Here is a 19,721-nt window from a genome sequence, read left to right as displayed (position 1 = left end):
GTTACACAGTGTTTCAGATGACCATGATCTCATTTATTGGGGCAAAAATGCACACACTATAAGGTTGGTGGAATCTGAGGCCTGCTGAGAGAACCATTTTTTGCCACCTCCCAGGCGGGCCATCTCTCTCTCTCAGGGTACATACTCATTGAGTGGAATCTCTACATTCTTCCCTCCCTGCCAAGGAGAATTCTCTTCAGTTCAAGATGTTATGGCCAGGTGCAGTGGCTCATGCCTGTAATCCCCGCACTTGGTTATGCCAGGGTGGGTGGATTACTTGAGGCCAGGAGTTCAAGACCAGCCTGGCCAACATGGTGAAACCCTGTCTCTACTAACAATGCAAAAATTAGCAAGGCGTGGTGATGCACACCTGTAATCCCAGCTACTTGGGAGGCTGAGGCAGTAGAATCACTTGAACCCAGGAGGCGGAGGTTGCAGTGAGAAGAGATCCTGCCACTGTATTCCAGCCTGGGTTACAAAGCGAGACTCTGACTCAAAAAAAAAAAAAAAAAAAAAAAAAGTTATGACCCCACTGTATTATAATTCCCTGATCTGAAATTACTTGTCCATCCAGCCAAACTGAATGCTCCTGAAGCACTCAGGAAAGATGCCTAGGGATTATCACAATGCTTAGCATAGAGTAGGTATCAGTAAAAGTTGGATAAAATTAGTCTCCTTTATGTCAGTCTGTATCTACTCCCACCCTTGCCCACTTTTGAGTAATTAATGCAGGAGACCCCTGGACTGCATATATACCTTTAGGCCAAAGACCAGCACAGGGGTCAGCCTACCTCTAAAGGACAGTCCACTGCAGGGCCCTCAAACAGCACTTTCCTACTTTTTATTATATTTAGTCTAACCTCGTCAGCATGGACCTCAAGGCCATGTACCTGACCACCCTCCCTTCTCTTCCTACAGCCTTAGATTCCAGCCCAGCTATCCTCTCCCATCTATGGCAGCTTATGGTCTCCAGCCTGCTGAGTGTACACCACAATCCTAGAGACATTTTTAACTACCACTATACCCCACTATACCCCACCATCCATACAAGTAGAAGCTCAGCCCTACTAAATAGAGAGCTAGTCTTTGCACGGTAATTTCAATAGCGTTCTCTATCTTTATTGATACACCACTGCACACATGAGGGAAACAGTGCTTTCCTGGAAAAGATTGGAGTCCATCACATTTCAAATGGGGGAAGTAAACCCTGATGTGGACAAGGGACTCTGGCAGTCAGAGCAGCTGCAGTAGGGCTCAGAGGAGCAATCCCTCTTCGTGGCAGGTTTTTGAGCAACGATTATCCCTTCTAGGTTCTTCATTTTGTTTTCCACTGTCTTAAGTTTTTTCAAAATTTTCTCTTGCAGACCCAAGGACAGGAAAAGATTATTATTGTCTTGAATTCGGAGACCACTTCCTTCTGGGTTGGCTAGCAAAGCCTCAAAAATATGTGAGCCCTTCTTGTAAAGTTTGTAGAGTGTGATTACAAACAACAATGTTTTCTAAAATGGAACAACAGAAGTTGAGTGTTAGTTGCTACAGTTTACTATCTATAAGAGAAAAACAAAACAAAAACCTAATAGTAACAATAATTCCTCATTCCAATAACAAGTCTCCCATTTAGCAAATTTTTTTTTTTTTTTTTTTTGAGATGGAGTTTCACTCTGTCACCCAGGCTGGAGTGCTGTGGCGCAATCTCAGCTTACTACAAGCTCCGCCTCCCAGGTTCACGCCATTCTCCTGCCTCAGCCTCCTGAGTAGTTGGGACTACAGGCGCCCACCACCACGCCCGGCTAATTTTTTGTATTTTTAATAGAGACGAGGTTTCACCGTGTTAGCCAGGATGTTCTCAATCTCCTGACCTCGTGATCCGCCCATCGTGGCCTCCCAAAATGCTGGGATTACAGGCGTAAGCCACCATGCCCGGCCTTAGCAAAATATTTTCACACCTATTTCATCTTTTGATTTTCACTGCAAACTGGAGAGGTAGGCAGGTCAGGCAGGATTATTATTTGCATTTAATCAAGATTGTAATAATAGATAACCATTTTCTGAATGTCTGGAAGTAACTTTGCCTTTGCATGATCTATTTATGCAGAAAAAACACAACTGGATAACTATATACCTTCTAGTTTGAACTCTGTCATTGTCCAAGGTTATATATTGGAAGTGGCAGAGCCAGGACAGGAATCCAGAAATTCACACTTCCAAGTACACTTTAGGACATAGTAGTCTGAAAAACTGGATTTCTTGGTCATGGAAAAGGTTTTTAAAATATACTAGGAGAGATCTGGGTACAATGGCACACACATATAGTCCCAGCTACTAGGGAGGGTAAGGTGGGAGGATCACCTGAGCCCAGGAGTAGTGTGCTATGATGGCACCTGTGAATGGCTACTGCACTTCAGCCTGGGCAAGATAGCCAGACCCTGTCTCTTAAAAAAATTAATGTATATATATATATATTTTATTTATATAAAATAAATTATAGGTGTGGACCACTGCATCCAGCACTTTGAGAGGCTGAGATGGGAGGATTGCATGAGGCCAGGAGTTAAAGACCAGCCTGAGCAACATAGTGAACGTAGCGAGACCCTGTCTCTACAAAAAAATTTTTAAAATTAGCCAAGCCTGGTGGTGCATGCCTATGGTTCCAACTGCTCAGGAGGCTGAGGCAGGAGGATCACCTGAGATCAGGAATTTGAGGCTGCAGTGAGCTATGATGACACCACTGCACTCCAGCCTGGGCGACAGAGCAAGACACTGTCTCTAAAACATAAAAAAAAAATAAAAAATAAAAATAAAGCATATGCTGGGCACGGTGGCTCATGCCTGTAATCCCAGCACTTTGGGAGGCCAAGGTGGGCGGATCACCTGAGGTCAGGAGTTCGAGACCAGCCTGGCCAACATGGTGAAACCCTGTCTCTACTTAAAATACAAAACATTAGCTGGGTGTGGTGGTATGCGCCTGTAATCCCAGCTACTCGGGAGGGTGAGGCAGGAGAATTGCTTGAACCTGGGAGGCAGAGGTTGCAGTGAGCCGAAATTGCACCATTGCACTCCAGACTAGGGGACAAGAGCAAGACTTCATCTCAAAATAAATAAATAAATAACAAAAGAATATGTATAGTAGGACAGATTCTTGCTAGGATAAGAAAAAAAATCATCTTGTTCCTTATTATAACAACTAGCACCACTTTTTTTTTTTTTGAGACACAGTCTTTGTCGCCCAGGCTGGAGTGCAGTGGCACGATCTTGGCTCACTGCAACCTCCACCTCCCGGGTTCAAGCAATTCTTCTGCCTCAGCCTCCTGAGTAGCTGGGACTACAGGCGCGTGCCACCACCACACCCGGCTAATTTTTGTATTTTAAGTAGAGATGGGGTTTCACTGTAGCACCACTTATTGAATATATGTGCTAAGATTTACACATACAATATCTTCTTTAATCCTCACAATACACATATATATGCGCATGCGCGTACACACACACACACACACACACACACACACACACACACACACACACATTCCTGTTCAAGATTTAGGTCAGTTGGTTTGCATTAAATGAGATTTTGGAGAAGAACTGAATTTCAAATCCTAAAAATTCGATTCAAACTCCAATTTTGCCAGCTCTTACAAACTATGTGAACTTGGGTGGGTAGCAATCAAGTTCTCTCATCTACAAAATGGAGCAAATAATCTCTCCCTGACTGTTATGCAGGATTGTGATGGTTTAAAATAGAAAGGCCCCGTGACCATGATTACTAAACAATAGTGACATATGAAAATAAGTGAATGCTAAAAAATGATCCAATAACAACTTCTCTCTGCATTTATCAAGTAAACTTGTCACTCTAAGAAAGCCGTTTTAAAAGCCTGTCACCTTAAGTTTCCACTGAACCTCAGTGCACCTCAGTTTCTTCACTTGTCATGTGAAAATAATCTCCATCCATTTCATGGAATTTTTGAGATTCTCAAAGCATTCAACTATATTGTATGTCAACTATTATTATTGGTGACTACACAGAAGTATGTAAAATCCTGTCTCTCACAATCCCAGCCAGTTAAATTCCTACTCCCCAAAGAGCTCCTATATACTTATGGAGCCTTATCTTGTCAAAACACAATAATGAACACATTGTGATGACTTAATACATATGCCTCCTTATCAGTTACAGAACAATGGCATAGTAAGAAAGGCCATACTCATGATCCTAGCTACTTTGGTGCCTATTGTATAAACATAGTAGCACTCAAAGATGAATAAGTGATCAAAAATTTTTGAGGGTAAGGCTGTCTTTTCAGGTTACCAACATGTTTGGTCTATTTTATTACAGAAGACAAGCCAAAGACCATTGTGAGAAAAGCATTTTTATGCCCAAAGCCTAATTGGTGGAGATTTTCAAGGATAACCTAGTTTTTGCCAACTTAAGAGACAAAGGTTCGCCTTTGCACATCTGCATGATCTTAAAACTGGTGGCAGCAATATGGGAGAGAACTAATCAAATTTCAATTTATAACTATATAAATGTTTGTAACAAAAGAGTATAACCTGAATTGACTGAATACTTCGTTTCCATAAGGCATATATTCCTATTCCCAATAAAATCAAGAAAGAAATCCTCAAGATGATTTGCACAGCTGGAGCAAGATTATCTAATAGTCCCAAACTTGTTTGCTGAGGTGCACTAGTCTCTCCCAAAAAACTTGCTTGTATCCAATTCCATACTGTGCTGAGAGAGAGAGACTCTAAGAGGTTGTCCCAGCTAGAAGATGAAGATGTTGACATTTTAATAAGCAGCAGCTCTAGGAACTACATGTGCAGAAGCTTCAGGAATCTAAATATGAGTTAGGGGGAGTAGTCTGGAGGCCTAGGTATTCCAGAGCCATTGTGAGCTGTGCTTTGTGATGTCACTGTTCCAAAGGTCAGCTTGCTTCCCACTCACCCAACCAATGAATCTTACTCAAAACCAACCAGGCACCGGCCTGGGTTTTCAGTTCATTCATATTGCTTTGTCTGATCTTTGGCTAGTTCTGGCTCTAGCATAGTGCTGTCCAGTACAACTTTTTGCAATAATGAAAATGTTCTTTATCTGCCATGTCCAATATGGTAACCACTAGTTACCTGAAATGTGAATAGTGCAGCAGAGATTGCATTTTACATTTTAACTAAATTTGGCTGGGCATGGTGGCTCACGCCTGTAATCCCAGCACTTTGGGAGGCTGAGGCAGGTGGATCACTTGAGCCCAGGAGTTCGAGACCAGCCTGGCCAACATGGTGAAATCTTGTCTCTACTAAAAATACAAAAATTAGCCTGACGTGGTGGTGCACACCTGTAGTCCCAGCTACTTGGGAGGCTGAAGCAGGAGAATCACTTGAACCTGGGAGGCAGAGGTTGCAGTGAGCTGATGTTGTGCTCCAGCCTTGGTGACAGAACGAGACTCCATCTAAAAAAAAAAAAAAAAAAGTTAAATAGCCACCTGTGGCTAGTGGCTTCTCTCTTGGTTAGTGTAGATCTACATTTCCAACAATTCAAATGGACAGCAGCTGTTGCAGCTGTTTTCACATAATAAAAAAAACTGAGTTGTATTGAGGTTGAATGGAAATGTGAGGAGATGGGATTTTTTATTTTTATTTTTTTGAGCTGGCGTGTCACTCTGTCGCCCAGGCTGGAGTGCAGTGGTGCGATCTCAGCTCACTGCAACCTATGCCTCCTAGGTTCAAGCGATTCTCCTGCCTCAGCCTCCTGAGTAGCTGGGATTACAGGCGCCCGCCACCACGCCTGGCTAATTTTTTGTATTTTTAGTAGAGATGGGGTTTCACCATTTTGGCCAGGCTGGTCTAGAATGCCTGACCTCAAGTGATCCACCTGCCCTGGCCTCCCAAAGTGCAGAGATTACAGGCATGAGCCACTGCACCCAGCAAGGAGGTAGGATATAAACAGGGCTTTTTTTTTTTTTTTTTTTTTTTTTTTTTTTTTTTTTTGAGGCGGGGTTTTGGTCTCGCCCTGTCTCCCAGGCTGGAGTGCAGTGGCGCAATCTTGGCTCACTGCAACCTCTGCCTCTGGGGTTCAAGCGATTCTCCTGGCTCAGCCTCCTGAGTAGCTGGGATTACAGGCATGTGCCACCACGCCTGGCTAATTTTTTTATTTTTAGTAGAGACGGGGCTTTACCATGTTGGTTAGGCTGGTCTCGAACTCCTGACCTCGTGATCCACCCGCCTAGGCCTCCCAAAGTGCTGGGATTACAGGCGTGAACCACCACACTCGGCCTTCAGTTTACCTTTAATAGTGGCATCCACCCACTCATCTGTCAGTCACTTCCACTCAGTAGTCTTCCATATCATGCCCTATTAGGACTTACTGACTTAGGCAATGCCTACTTTCAAGCCTTTGGTAAATTCTTTTTTTTTTTTTTTTTGAGACAGGGTCTCGCTCTGTTGCCCAGGCTGGAGTGCAGTGGTGCGATCTCAGCTCATTGCAACCTCTGCCTCCTGGGTTCAAGCGATTCTCCTGCCTCAGCCTCCTGAGTGGCTGGGACTACAGGCACGTGCCACGCCTGGCTGATCTCTGCATTTTTAGTAGAAATGGGGTTTCACCATATTGGCCAGATTGGTCTCGAACTCCTGATCTCAGGTGATCCTCCTACCTTGCCCTCCTAAAGTGCTGGGATTACAGGCATGAGAAATAGCACCCAGTCCGCCTTTGAAAAATTCTTATAGGTTCTTCATTGTCTTTCAAACAAAATCCAAAATCTGTAACATGGCTAACAGGGCACTAAAATGCCTGGTCCCTGCTTACCTACCAAGTCTTCTCTTCCTCTGCCATTTGTTCTTTCAACTCCAGCTATAGTAGTCTTATCAATGTCACCAACACACCAAGCTGTTGAACCACAAAGCTTTGGCACATAATTGGATTACTCTTGTTCTTTGCCTAGCTTCCCCCTCCTCCCCCAGCTTGGAGGTCAATGCCTATTCACAGGTGCGATTATTGCACAGTACAGCCTCTAACTCCTGGGCTCAAGTGATCCTCCTACCTCAGCCTCCCGAGTAGCTGGGACTACAGATTATTGCCTGGCTAACTTCTATTGATTCTTTAGGTTTCAGTTTAAACATTATCCTCAATGAAGCTTTTGCTGTCCTTTTTTGGTCCCCTTCTCATAAGCCCCTCCACCCCCCCTGTTTAAAAGCACTTTTACTTTATTATTTGTACTGTTTTAATGTCTGTCTTCCCTACTGGATTATTTTTTTTGTTGGGGGTGGGGAGGTTGGGGGCACAGGGTCTCACTCTGTTGCCCAGGCTGGAGTGCAGTGGCCTGATCTTGGCTCACCGCAACCTGTGCCTCCTGGGTTCAAGCGGTTCTCCTGCCTCAGCCTCCCTAGTATCTGGGATTACAGGCGCATGCACCACTACAGCGCGGCTAATTTTTGTATTTTTAGTAGAGACAGGGTTTCACCATGTTAGCCAGGCTGGTCTCAAACTCCTGACCTCAAATATCCTCCTGCCTGTGCCTCCCAAAGTGCTGGGATTACAGGCATGAGTCACCGCACCCAGTCCCTTACTGGATTCTTAAATCTCTATGATGCAGGAAATGAGTCTTGTTCAACACCTACCACCCAGGGGCTAGCAGATGGTATATGCTTTGTAAATATTTGGCTTCTTAACCATTTAGATAGCTTTCCTACGCCTCTGGTCTTTTTTTTCAGGTTATACCTGTCAAATACATGCTGACAGATTTTTAAATCTCTTGCCTATCCTGGTTACCTTCCCCAGAGTGAATCAAACCTCCAAATGCAGTCTGTCACAGAAGCCACTCCTGCAGGAGTAGACCAAGAAGGTCACAGAGGGATAGGCCACTCTCTCTAGACACAGTTCTATATAATAGGGTATAAAATCAGTAGTATAAAGCCAGGAGGTATCACAGTTTACCTTGGGGTAGGAGGTGAGGAGGAGCAACTTTTCTGAGTTTTAGAAGTTTCTGGCCGGGTGCAGCGGTTCATGCCCGCAATTCCAGCACTTTGGGAGGCTGGGGTGGGAAGATTGCTTGGGCTCAGGAGTTCAAGATCAGCCTGGGCAACCTAATGAGACCTCGCCTCAAAAAATAACAAAAATGAGTAAGTTTCTTTCAGAAAAGAAAACTTGCCTTTTTCGTAGGTTACATGTTATTCACAGAAAAAAATATGCACGTTTCCCATCTCTATACTCAAATGAAGAAATGTCAGCACCATATGACTGTGGAGTTTGAGTTGAATAACCTGGCTTTCACCTACACTTCAAATTGTATTTCCCACTATTCACCTTCACAAACAACACTCACATTACAGAACTGTGGTATTTTTGGTACTTCAAATACCACCTGCAACTTTCCATCTGTTATTCCTTTACACTAAATGTCCCTCTCTGACATTCTTCTAGTCAGAAGAGATTGGAAACTGGGCTCCACCTCTATTTGTGCCAGCCAGGCAAGACACTTCATCTCGTTCTTTGTCAAATATAGTAACAGCACCTACTTCATAGGATTATGAAAATTCAACAACATAATTTTATGTAAAATGCTAAAAAGCACAATTACCCTGAATTCTCACAGTACTTTCCACTTCCAGGCCAGTGCTTCTAGAACTTTTCTGTGCCTAAGAATCACCTGGAGATCTTACTAACACGCACATTTTGGTCCAGTAGGTCTGGAGTAGGGCCTGAATTTATGCATTTTTATTAATAACAATCTCCTAGGTGACACCTATACTGCTGGCCCACTACCACACTTTAAGTAACAATGTTCTGAGATACTCCAGCCCTCCCTTCACCTTGTGAAAGCTTCTTGATGGCCCTGACAACTTTTTTTTTTTTTTGTCTCCCATTGCATCTGGAATTGTATCTCTTTAAATGTGTGTATTTAAATATTTGGTGAATGATTATGTCTTAGGCAGTTCAGCTCAGTAGGCCTTTTGGGACTGAGAAAGGATAGATTGAGAATGGAATACCCTGAGGAAGGCTAATAAAAAACTTTCTCCTCCACAGTTCCTTACCCTATTTCACACATGGGCTCATGAAAATGGGGAAAACACTGAAGCAAGAGAATTCTGGGTAAAGGCAAGAATAGAAGTGTCTGGAAGTCTTCATTCCTACTCACCATTTTGGAGGCACTCTTGAATTGAAAAAGCTTTGAAAACAAAGTCAGTGCTTTCAGGTCTGTGCCAGGGTTGGGACAAATTCCAGAGATATCAAGTTAAAATGATTACTACAAGCTAAAAAAATAACCCTTTGCCCTGTATTATCGTATAGTCACTCATGCTGGTTTAAACAGGAAAGTCTTTTTTTTTTTTTTTTTTTGAAATGGAGTCTTGCTTTGTTGACCAGGCTGGAGTGCAATGGTGCAATCTCAGCTCACTCCAACTTCCACCTTCAGGGTCCAACAGCGATTCTCCTGCCTCAGCCTCCTGAGTAGCTGGGATTACAGGCATCTGCCACCACACCCAGCTAATTTTTGTATTTTTAGTAGAGACGGGGTTTCTCCATGTTGGTCAGCCTGGTCTCAAACTCCTGACCTCAGGTTACCTACCCGCCTCAGCCTCCCAAAGTGCCAGGATTACAGGTGCGAGCCATCGCGCCCAGCCAAAAGTCTTTAATAAAGATCAAATGATGCAAGCTGCTCTAACTGGGATAGACAGTGATCTTGGGATCAACTACTTAGGCTTATACTTGAATTATTTTACTTTTTTTGAGACAAGTCTCGCTCTGTCACCTGGGCTGGAGTGCAATGCCGCGATCTCGGCTCACTGCAACATCCGCCTCACGGGTTCAAGCGATTCTCCTGCCTCAGCCTCCCAAGTAGCTGAGACTACAGGCGTGTGCCATCATGCCCAGCTAATTTTTTGTATTTTTAGTAGAGACGGGGTTTCCCCGTCTTAGCCAGGATGGTCTTGATCTCCTGACCTCATGATCCGCCCACCTCAGCCTCCCAAAGTGCTGGGATTACAGGCATGAGCCACCGCGCCCGGCCTAATTGGGTTCTTAAAATCTAGGTTTAGTTCCACTGTGAATGGCCTCACTTGGTCCTTCCAGGGGCTACAAGTTCTGTGTGGTTGAATGGATATAGTTCAGTCTTAGTAGCTTTCTCTTACTCTGGACTAACCATCTCTCTCGTATGAGGAATTTTTACTAGGCCTACAGGTGCTTCTCATGCTCATATCACAAAAAGGGACCTTTCACCTCTACCTCCTCCCTTCGTAAGTGAGGAAATTAAAGCCACTGAAGAAATTAGCTTGATTCCAAAGAAACAATACTGGTCTCAGTCTCTAAGATCCTTGTTTCTGCCACTTCTTTCAACAGAGTCTTACTCAGATCACTTGGATTTCTCAGAATCCTCTGTTACCTACTGGGATCTGAGACAATAAACGACTTGGTTATGGGAGTGCTTTAGACTCAGGGTGAGGTGACAGAATGAAATTCCTGAAGAGCTGACAAAACAAGAAAATAAGGTTTAAGAGTCAGAGAAAAGGTCTTGAAATTCTAACCACAATAGACTGGGTGTGGTGGCTCACGCCTGTAATCCCAGCACTTTGGGAGGCCGAGGAGGGTGGATCACGAGGTCAGGAGTTCAAGACCAGCCTGGCCAAGATGGTGAAACCCTGTCTCTACTAAAAATACAAAAAATTAGCCGGGCGTGGTGGCACAAGCCTGTAATCCCAGCTACTCTGGAGGCTGAGGCAGAGAACTGCTTAAACCTGGAGGGGCGGAGGTTGCAGTGAGTCGAGATCGCGCCACTGCACTCCAGCCTGAGCGACAAAGCAAGACTCCGTTGAAAAAAAAAAAAAATCTAACCACAAGGATGAGAAAGAGATGTTAGTTGTCTGAGTCACTTCATTACTAGCTAATGAAAGTAGTTGAAAACTTCACAAGCAACAGGAAATGAAGCTGCTGTATTAAAAGGATATACTGCTATCCTCATTAGACAGACATCCCACAGTCCAATGAAACTCAACACATCTAAAAGCCAAACTCACCTTGGTTTCCATTATCTTCCCAAATATTCATTCCTTCTTTGTATACCTACTTAAAATGGTTGCATCAGTACCAAATCTTTTCCTTCACTCTCCAAGCCCCCAAAATCCTGTCTCCTTAAATACTTCATCTACTCTGCCTTCTGCTGCAATTGTCAGTAAATACACTCACCAAGCTTGCCTCAATTACTTCAAGTATACTGTTTCCAATTTCAGCTTCTCAAATCAAGTGAGCACTCCACACTTCAACTGATATATGCCTATAGACTCAAATCCAAACTCCTTAGTCTTCATGATTTAGTTCCTGCTATCTCTACAATGATGTCACTCTCTTGTTCCCCTTTTATTGCCAGCATATCAAATTATTTGTAGTTTCCTAGAAACATGCCCTCTGAATTTGCTACGTCCTTCATGTTCTAGGTTGGCATATCCTCTCCTTTCTACTCGGCCAACATCTGGACATCCTCTGGGAGCTATCTTGACTCCCGCAGCTAATTAATCTCAGAATTATCTTTCCACAAAAACAAAAATTTTAAGATAAAAAGAACCTTGTTCTGGGATGGGCACGGTGGCTCATGCCTGTAATCCCAGCACTTTGGGAGGCCGGGGCAGGAGAATAACTTGAACCTGGGAGGAGGAGGTTGCAGTGAGTCGAGACTGCACCATTGCACTCCAGCTTGGGCAACAAGAACGAAACTCTGTCTTAAAAAAAAAAAAAAAAAAAAGAACCTTGTTCTGAATGATTTAGCTAATAATAAATAAAAAAATTACTGGGGTAAAATGTGAATGGCATATTTCAGAAAATACAAGTGCAATTTCAGTTTACATGTGGCATGAAAGCTCATTATGAGTAAACAACGAATGGGTGAAAAATTGTAATTTATTGAAACTCAACTCAAAAAATATAAGATGCTGTAGTGTACAATATATTACACAAAGCACCCTCAGGTGCACATTCAAGTCAAGTAAGAACTCCATATCCCTTTCCCTAGCCCTCCCACCCTGGGACCTTAGTATTTGTTCCATATACAATCATGCACACTTAATTTGAAAAAGGAAGCCCCAGTATATTTTGATGTATTAATTAGCACCAAACAAGTGTACAGTTCCATTTTTTTAATAAACAAACAAACAAAAATAAACCCAATCATTAAACCAACTGGAGAGCTAATGGACTCAGCCAATACTGCTGACATAGATATTATACATTCATGTAAATACACAGCCTATTCTACCCTAAACAACGGTGTGGCTGCTTCTCAGCCTTTGTTCGAGTTGGCAAATGTCCCCATGTTGCAGTGTTGGAGCCAGTCTGTTACTAAAACAAAATTGCTACTTATGAACTTCCTACACAAAGCTCATCTGTCTTTTTTGTTGGAAATAAGTCTAAAATTGGTGTGGAAAACTTAGATCTTTCAAGAACCACCACTGGCCGAAGATAATGAAGCTGTTTTAAGGCAAGCTCTCCACAGTCTGTTAATGCTTTGTCCAATACAACCCTCAGGTTTTCCAAGGAAGGAACTGTTGTTGTTTCAGCTACTATTAAAGGTGGGATTGCAGTCAGGTTCTCATGAATTGTAGAGTCACTGGAAGAATGAGGTATGTCAACTTCAGGTTCACTGTCATTCACCATATTATTTGCCACAACATTCCCTGTTAAATCATTACTGGACTGTGAAGAATTACTTAATGTTAAGTGCTCTGAAGGCTCCCAATCATCAAAATCATCTTCTTTCTCTTCACTTTCCTGAATAAATTTCAGAAATGAAGATTCAAATCCCATAGGTTTGTAAGTCTTCAAATCAAATGACCGGGGCTGTGAATGTTTCCTAAAATTCTCTTTTGGGACATGGGTTGGATTTTTTACAGTGTTTTCTTGCCCTGAACTATGCTGCCTAGTTTCTGATTCTTTGATCCTTGGTAAAGGCAGCTGGAAACTTGTGAAATAAGTCCCACTTTCAGTCCCATTGGGATTAGGTATGGAATTTTCTATTTTACAAGGAGGAGGAGGCTGAACTATATTACACTGTTCTAGGGAAGTGGTTTTGGAACTATGATTACATTTCAAAGTTCCCCTGTAGAGCAGAGTATCTGCATCAAATACTGAGCTGCTTTCTATGCACCCTTTCTGACCTCCATCCCTTTCACTTGAATGACAGCAATCAGTGTTCTGGATGGGTGCACTACTGTCACCCGGGGAATGGCTGTGTTCTGTGCGCTCTGATTCACAGCTTCTATTTTCTTCTTTCTTTATACAGGGATCTGCTTCAGAAGGGGGTTCCTCCTTAATTTTGGTACCGTACTTAACGCAAACAACAAGATTCTCCATCTGTTGCTCTAAATAGGCACTACTCATCTGATGAGTGCGTTTGTAATGCCTCACAATGCTGCTCTCCAACTTCACCACAGATAAGCATCCTTGAACCATGCAGGGGTACTGTGTGTGCTCAGAGTGCTCCACACACATATGGAGGGCCTCAGCTCTGGTTTTAAAACTTATTGGGGCTTTCTTTTCTTTGATTAAGCCACATTTTTTAGACTTAGCATTAAATGATCTCCTGGTGGTCTGATGTTCATGCCCCTGAGTATCAGCTGTTTGACATACCTTTTCACTCCTTAGTAGTCTCTCATTTGCTACTTTCTGGCTTCTAAACAAATCATCATAATAGTCTTTATGTCGGTAATATACATGTTGTGAGTAATTACTGCGATGGGTGAAAATCTGGCCACAGCCATTAAGATCACAATGAATTTCATAATCTGAATGTATTTCCCCTTCAATATTATGCTGTTCCATCAAGTGGTGCTTCAACTTGTTGAATGTATAAAAAACAGCAGGGCACTGAGGCTGGTTACAAGAAAACCTTGCTGCAGATCCAGCTTCGGAAAGTACTTTAGGCTCTTCAATATGGTCTAGGTTATGAGAATCACTACAGTGCTTAGCAAGAGCTTTGGAACACAGGAAGCGTTTATTACATTCCTTATATTTGCAAGCAAATATCTTTTTACATTTGACAAGTTCCCTTTTGGTTCTTGCTTTGTCTTTCTCCAAACATAACTGTTCTTTGTTGTACTGATGTACAGTTCTGTAATGGCGAATTAAGCCTTTTAGATTGGTGAATGAGGAGTTGCAAGTTTTATGAATACAATGGAATGGTTTGTGGTATTTATTCAAAATATAACACAGATTTCCTTTAGCAACAGTTCGCCTGCTACCTCTGCCCTCTCTTCCTTCTTGTTCTTCTCTATGGCTGCCTATTGGTGATGAAATGTCAGATGTTTTACTTTCTGTTTCTTCACAAGATGATTCCAAATCTGTTTCAGAACTACATTCATCCTTTTTAGGATGACAGTGTGGTTTCTCAGAGTTACTACTGGGATCACCTCCAAGTTCTGCAGAACAATCACCTTTCAACCTATCTACTGAACATGGGCCTTCATGATCACACTTTTCATTATCTAATAGTTTGTGAGTTGCTCTGTCACTGCCAATTTGATGTTTATTTTTATAATGAATCCTAAGGTGTGTTTTTCTTGTAAATGACCTTTGGCAAATATGACACTGAAATGGGGAATACCGATGTTGGAACATGGTTAACTGAAGGACTTTTTCTTTTGAATAATTATGCTTTTTAAGATAATGCATTAACAGAGCCTCTCTGGTCACAAATTCATATTTGCATCCTTGAAGCTCACAGAAAAACGGCTTAGCCGCCAACTGTGCAAGGTACTGACTTGGCATGTTTTCATCTTGATTCTGAAAATTAAGGTCTGAGATAGATGAAACTGACTGAAGAGACTTAGCACCACTGGATGGGTACCCCTGCAATGACCCTGAGAAAGATCCATGTGTTATTGAGTTTTTCAAGCTTAAATGTTTCAAGCGTAACAGAAGTTCCAACATGGTATCCTCTGTACAGGGCCTTTTAGAAGCACAAATGGAGGATTCTGAGGAATAACCTTGATGTTCTCGTTTACATTTAATGTGAATATTGTGATCTAGACCTTCATCTGGGGAGTCACTGTTTGTATCTGAGCAGGGTTTAGGTTCTGCATCCAACTTTTCAGTTGTCTGATTATGTTCATTACCCAAAGAGGGAAACAGATCTTTCGTCTTTATCTTTTTGGGCTTGAAATGGTATGGATGAACCTTCCGTAAATGTTTCTGCATTCCTCTTGCATTTTTGTATGTGGAACCACAGCCATCAAAACCACAGGTAAACTTAGTCCCGTCAAAACAAACTGCCATACTGGAACATTTTTCTTTTAAACTGGAGGGCCCAAAGACTTTCTCATTAGATAACAATACATCCTGCATAGTTTCAGAGTGATCTAGTGTGTCAATTAGCTCTTCATTCATTGAAGCTGAAGAGCTATGACTTAACTGATCACTAGAATTACTGTCACTGTTTTCTTTCAGGTTTTCTGCAGTTTCTGTATCTATTTGAGAATTAGCTGATTCTGCACAGAAAAGATCTTCAGGTAAATGTGATTTATCAGTTTGGTTAAGTAGATGGGGCTGATTAATACAATCTTGCTTTTCACCTGTTGCAGACTCCTCAAGTTTCACTGATTTCTTTATGTCTCCATTTGAATTTTCAACATTATGCATTGAGAGGTGATTCTGGTATTCAATTTTGGAGTAATAGAACTTTTTACAGCCAAGGAAGTTGCATGTGTAAGATGCATCCCTAAAGTGTTGTGCTTCATGGTGGTAAAGCTGTCCCAAGTCACTGAAAACAATATTACAGCCATTTAATTCACATTTGTAACGCAGATCGTCATGCTTTTGTTTATGGTTAAGTAGTTCATTTACTGATCCAAACCTAGCATAGCAATCTATAGATACACACATATAAGGCTGAGGCCCACAATGCACTTGTTCGTGCTCTCGAAGGTGAAAAGCAGACATAAAATGTCGTCGACAGTAAGTACACTTCTCTCTTCTATTTTTCATATCCAAGTAGTGCTTGGCATTTTCATCATTATTTTGGTGTTCAGCTTTAAGATGCACACTTAAGTATTTAAATTGCTTAAACACACGGGAACAGTCTGTACCGGGACATGGATACAAATCTCTGTCTTGCAGGTGGCAATCTTCTAATTTGCTGAATGTGACATATTCATGAGACTCTCCTTTGGCTTGGTCATTCAATGAATGGTTTTGCTCTGGGATTGCAGAGGGGCTCTTAGGACAAATACCCTTTTGAGAGCCTTTTAACAGTAATTTCTTTTTAGAGCGGTCCCTTCTGCTTGGTGGCATTTTAACATGCTCCATCACATGAGGAACAAACATTTCTTTTCTCTTAAATTTTTTAATACAAACTGGACAGGTGTAAATTCCATCTTCCATATGCATCTTAGAATGATGAAGAATTCTAGCCTCTATACATTCCCGCTTACATAACAAACAGAAAAACTTGTACTGAAGCCACCTCTGATATCTTTCAGAAGAGCCAATAGGTTTTTTGTCTCTTTTCTCCTTATGCTGATCTGTCAAATCTCTTCTTCTATATTGTTTATCTTCTTTACCCTCATCATAGTCACTGAGAAATGACTCTAAAACATCTGTGTCATTAATGGACATTTCATAGCCACTTAAATCATCATCAGAATCTGAGGCTTCTTGTCCTAAAAGTTGGTGGCAGTGTCGTTTTAAAGTTTTCCAGTCCCAAAACTCAGGATCAAAAGGCCAGTGGGCTTTTAAAGCTAGTAAGAGCTCACATCGAAGAGAATTTGGAACCGGTGCATTTTCTTCATCAAATTTTTGATCTGGTTGCAAATATAGTTCTTCTAACATATTAAATCCATCCAAACTGGGTTCAATTAAGAATTCTGTAAGCTGACAGGCTCGTCTAACTTCTAAATCTTCTGGTAAAAGACAGGCAATTGTTTTACAAACTGATGCCTTCATTTCCTCATCTTCACTTGATCTGAGTTGAAGAGCTCTGACACACAGTAAAATTGACACCCCAAGACCAGCATCTTGTGCCTGTAAGTAAAAGAGGATAAAAAAATTATTTTTTTGCATACAGAAAGATTATATAACTTTCACTGATAAGGAATTTTAGCTTGTAAAAACTTTTAGAGTTCCTAAATTTTATCTTAAATCTTTCTTCATGAAAGTTACATTTAGATATTTCTTGTCTCAACATGCAAAGAACTAAATTAGATGCTACAACTACGAACAATGTACATTTACTAGGCACTGTGTATTAAAGCAGTTCCTTACTTCCAAGGAATTTATCTGTACCCCGAATGCATAAACAATAAATGCATGTGAATCCAAAGAAATTCAGGATAAAAAAGGTCACTGGAGGATTCAAAATAGAATGATGTTGAGTAGAGGGGCAGGGTTTAAAATGGCAGCAACAGGAAACACAGGTATAGATGTGAGTCTAAGATTAAATTCAATTTAAGAAATTCTCTTTGGCTGGGCACGGTGGCTCACGCCTGTAATCCCAGCACTTTGGGAGGCCGAGGCAGGTGTATCACCTGAGTTTGAGACCAGCCTGACCAACACGGAGAAACCCCGTCTCTACTAAAAATACAAAATTAGCCAGGTGTGGTGGTGCATGCCTGTAATCCCAGCTACTCGGAGGCTGAGGCAGCAGAATCGCTTGAACCCAGGAGGTGGAGGTTGCAGTTTAGCCAAGATCACACCATTGCACTCCAGCCTGGGCAACAAGAGCAAAACTCCGTCTCAAAAAAAAAAAAAAAAAAAAAAATTCTCTCTATCATGAACACTTGGATTTTTCAAAACTTCAAAGATAAAATAAATGATCCTTTCCATTTCCTCCTGAAAGAATCTGGTAATTTATAGTCACCGTCACAGGTGTACTGAATCTCAGCTTTCCAGGGAAAAAACAGAAATCAGAAATCTTGCTATGGCAGCAGGTTCTCAGAAACTAGTTTAAAATTAGGAAGACCTGGTCATATGTGATAAAAGCTTGGTACATACAAGATAACTCTTTTTATCTGAGAGGCTGAAATAAAATACAAAAATGACATGAGCAAAGAAAAGCAAGATATGTCAGAGTGGCTTAAAACGCACTGCTATGAGCAGAGACTTTAGAATCAGACTTTGACTGCCTTTGAACCCCAGCTTCACAACAAGTGACAAGTTCTCAACCTCTAAACTTCAGTTTCCTTATTGGTAAAATGATAACAGTAATGTTAATAACAGATTTTCCTCCTAAGGTTATAAAGATGAAATAATAACGCTGGCACATTGTAACTATTTAACAGAATACAATGTAAAATAATGGAGTAAATTCCACTGTTTAAATCAGTAAACAATTTGCCAGGCATTTAATTCTGTGTTGGGCATCATTCATTCTAAATGCTGGGAACACAAAGAAATCACTGTCATTGATTTACAGAACCCCTACTACAGCCTAGGCACTTATTTGAAATAAACTTTTTTGCACGTATTATCCTCATTTTATAGACAAAAAACCCCCAACACTCAGAACGTTAAGTTGCCCAATGTCACTAACTAGTGAGCAGAGGAGCAAGGACTTAAAAGCATTTAGGCCGGGCACAGTGGCTCACACCTGTAATCCCAGCACTTTGGGAGGCCGAGGCAGGCACATCACTTGAGGCATGGAGTTTAAGACCAGCAGGGCCAACATGGCAAAACCCCATTTCTAATAAAAATACAAAAAATTAGCCAGGCATGGTGATGCAGGCCCAAAGCCCCAGCTACTTGGGAGGCTGAGGCATCAGAATCCCTTGAACCTGGGAAGCGGAGGTTGCAGTGAGCTGAGATCACGCCACTGCATGCCAGCCTGGGCAACAGAGTGAGACTCCGTCTCAAAAAAAAGAAGATATTTGGCCTGAAGAGTAGAAGAGATGTGGACTGGTAGGTGAAAAGGGAGTGAGTGAGTGTAGAATCCCTTGCAAACTGAGACTCCAACTTTTTTTTCTTTAAAACTAGTCAAGTGTAATAGTGAGAAGGGGGAAAGAGTAGAACAGAGTTCAGTCTGTAACTGACTGTGAACAATCAATTGAGATAACTCCCTACCTTTCAGACGAGCTGAGACTCTAGCTTTTTTGAAAGAGAGGCATTACCTAGCCTGTATCAGCTAGGATCTGGTTCTGTTGTGAGTGGCAGACTTCCCACAACAGTAGTGGCCTAAAGAATATAGAAGTTTCTCCCTCTCATTTGGAATGTAGTCCAAGTAAAACAGGCCATGTTGCTTTAGTGGCTCCACAGGACTAGACCATGGGTCTCTTGACTTATTAGGATGATGTGATAGAAGTTTATCATTTGTAAGTAAGAGCAGAGAGGACTTGGGGAAAGTCAGCTAAATTTTAAAATAATTCAGTTTCTCAACAAGTTACTAACTCCTTTTGGAAGACTGTGAGGTGGACAGCAAAGAATGGCCATTCTTTCTTAAACAGCCTAATCTGGCTGGGATGGTAACATTTGAAAAATCACTAACAACATTTTTCAAAGAAAAGTAACCAGAAATACTATTATATATTCTGAACAGATATGCCAAAAAGTTACTGAAAGGAGTAGTGAATAAATGTGAATCAGGATATGCAATGTGGAGCTGAATTTTGAAGAAATTGGTGGGTCTTAAACTAGGAAGGTGAGGGATCAAGAGTGACTTGGCATACTGTTGCAAGCGCACATAGGATATAGCCAAGTCATTCAATCTTTGCTTTTTTTTTTTTTTTTGAGACAGAGTCTCACTCTGTCGCCCAGGCTGGAG

The 19,721-nt window shown here is 41.7% G+C and overlaps 2 protein-coding genes across 4 annotated transcripts in view, besides 1 other annotated feature; both read right to left on the bottom strand.

The window, feature by feature from the left end:
• Positions 1-1,097: 1,097 nt before the first annotated feature.
• Positions 1,098-4,845, bottom strand: TMCO2 (transmembrane and coiled-coil domains 2). The gene is made up of 2 exons (NM_001008740.4): positions 4,552-4,845; positions 1,098-1,499 (listed from the first exon to the last, which is right to left on the bottom strand). Exons 1-2 carry the CDS (start codon positions 4,786-4,788, stop codon positions 1,188-1,190), a joined length of 549 nt encoding a protein of 182 aa, NP_001008740.1. The 5' UTR covers positions 4,789-4,845; the 3' UTR covers positions 1,098-1,187.
• Positions 10,926-10,975: an enhancer, noted in NCBI's record as "active region_833". NCBI's record gives its function as "activates an Ori minimal core promoter by ATAC-STARR-seq in GM12878 lymphoblastoid cells {active_cell/tissue: GM12878}" and the evidence as "EXISTENCE:reporter gene assay evidence [ECO:0000049][PMID:35858748]".
• RLF (RLF zinc finger) overlaps positions 11,861-19,721 on the bottom strand; it is a 79,535-nt gene continuing 71,674 nt past the window's right edge. For all 3 annotated transcript variants that reach the window (NM_012421.4, XM_047427055.1, XM_047427057.1), the window contains one exon: positions 11,861-16,990. In NM_012421.4, the coding sequence (NP_036553.2) occupies positions 12,335-16,990 (4,656 nt within the window). In that variant the 3' untranslated portion in view covers positions 11,861-12,334. The remainder of the gene's footprint in view (positions 16,991-19,721) is intronic.

This window comes from Homo sapiens, chromosome 1 (genome assembly GCF_000001405.40).
Source record: "Homo sapiens chromosome 1, GRCh38.p14 Primary Assembly".
NCBI lineage: Eukaryota > Metazoa > Chordata > Mammalia > Primates > Hominidae > Homo > Homo sapiens.
The sequence above is the reverse complement of the archived record's forward strand: the minus strand, read 5'-3'. Positions and strand labels throughout refer to the sequence as shown.

Excerpts from the sequence above, each read along its gene's own strand:
- TMCO2 (NM_001008740.4), bottom strand. The coding sequence starts at position 4,788 with ATGTCAACATCTTCATCTTCTAGCTGGGACAACCTCTTAGAGTCTCTC. Across the intron at positions 1,500-4,551 it reads GAAGTATTCAGTCAATTCAG|AAAACATTGTTGTTTGTAAT; the intron begins GTTATACTCTTT and ends GTTCCATTTTAG.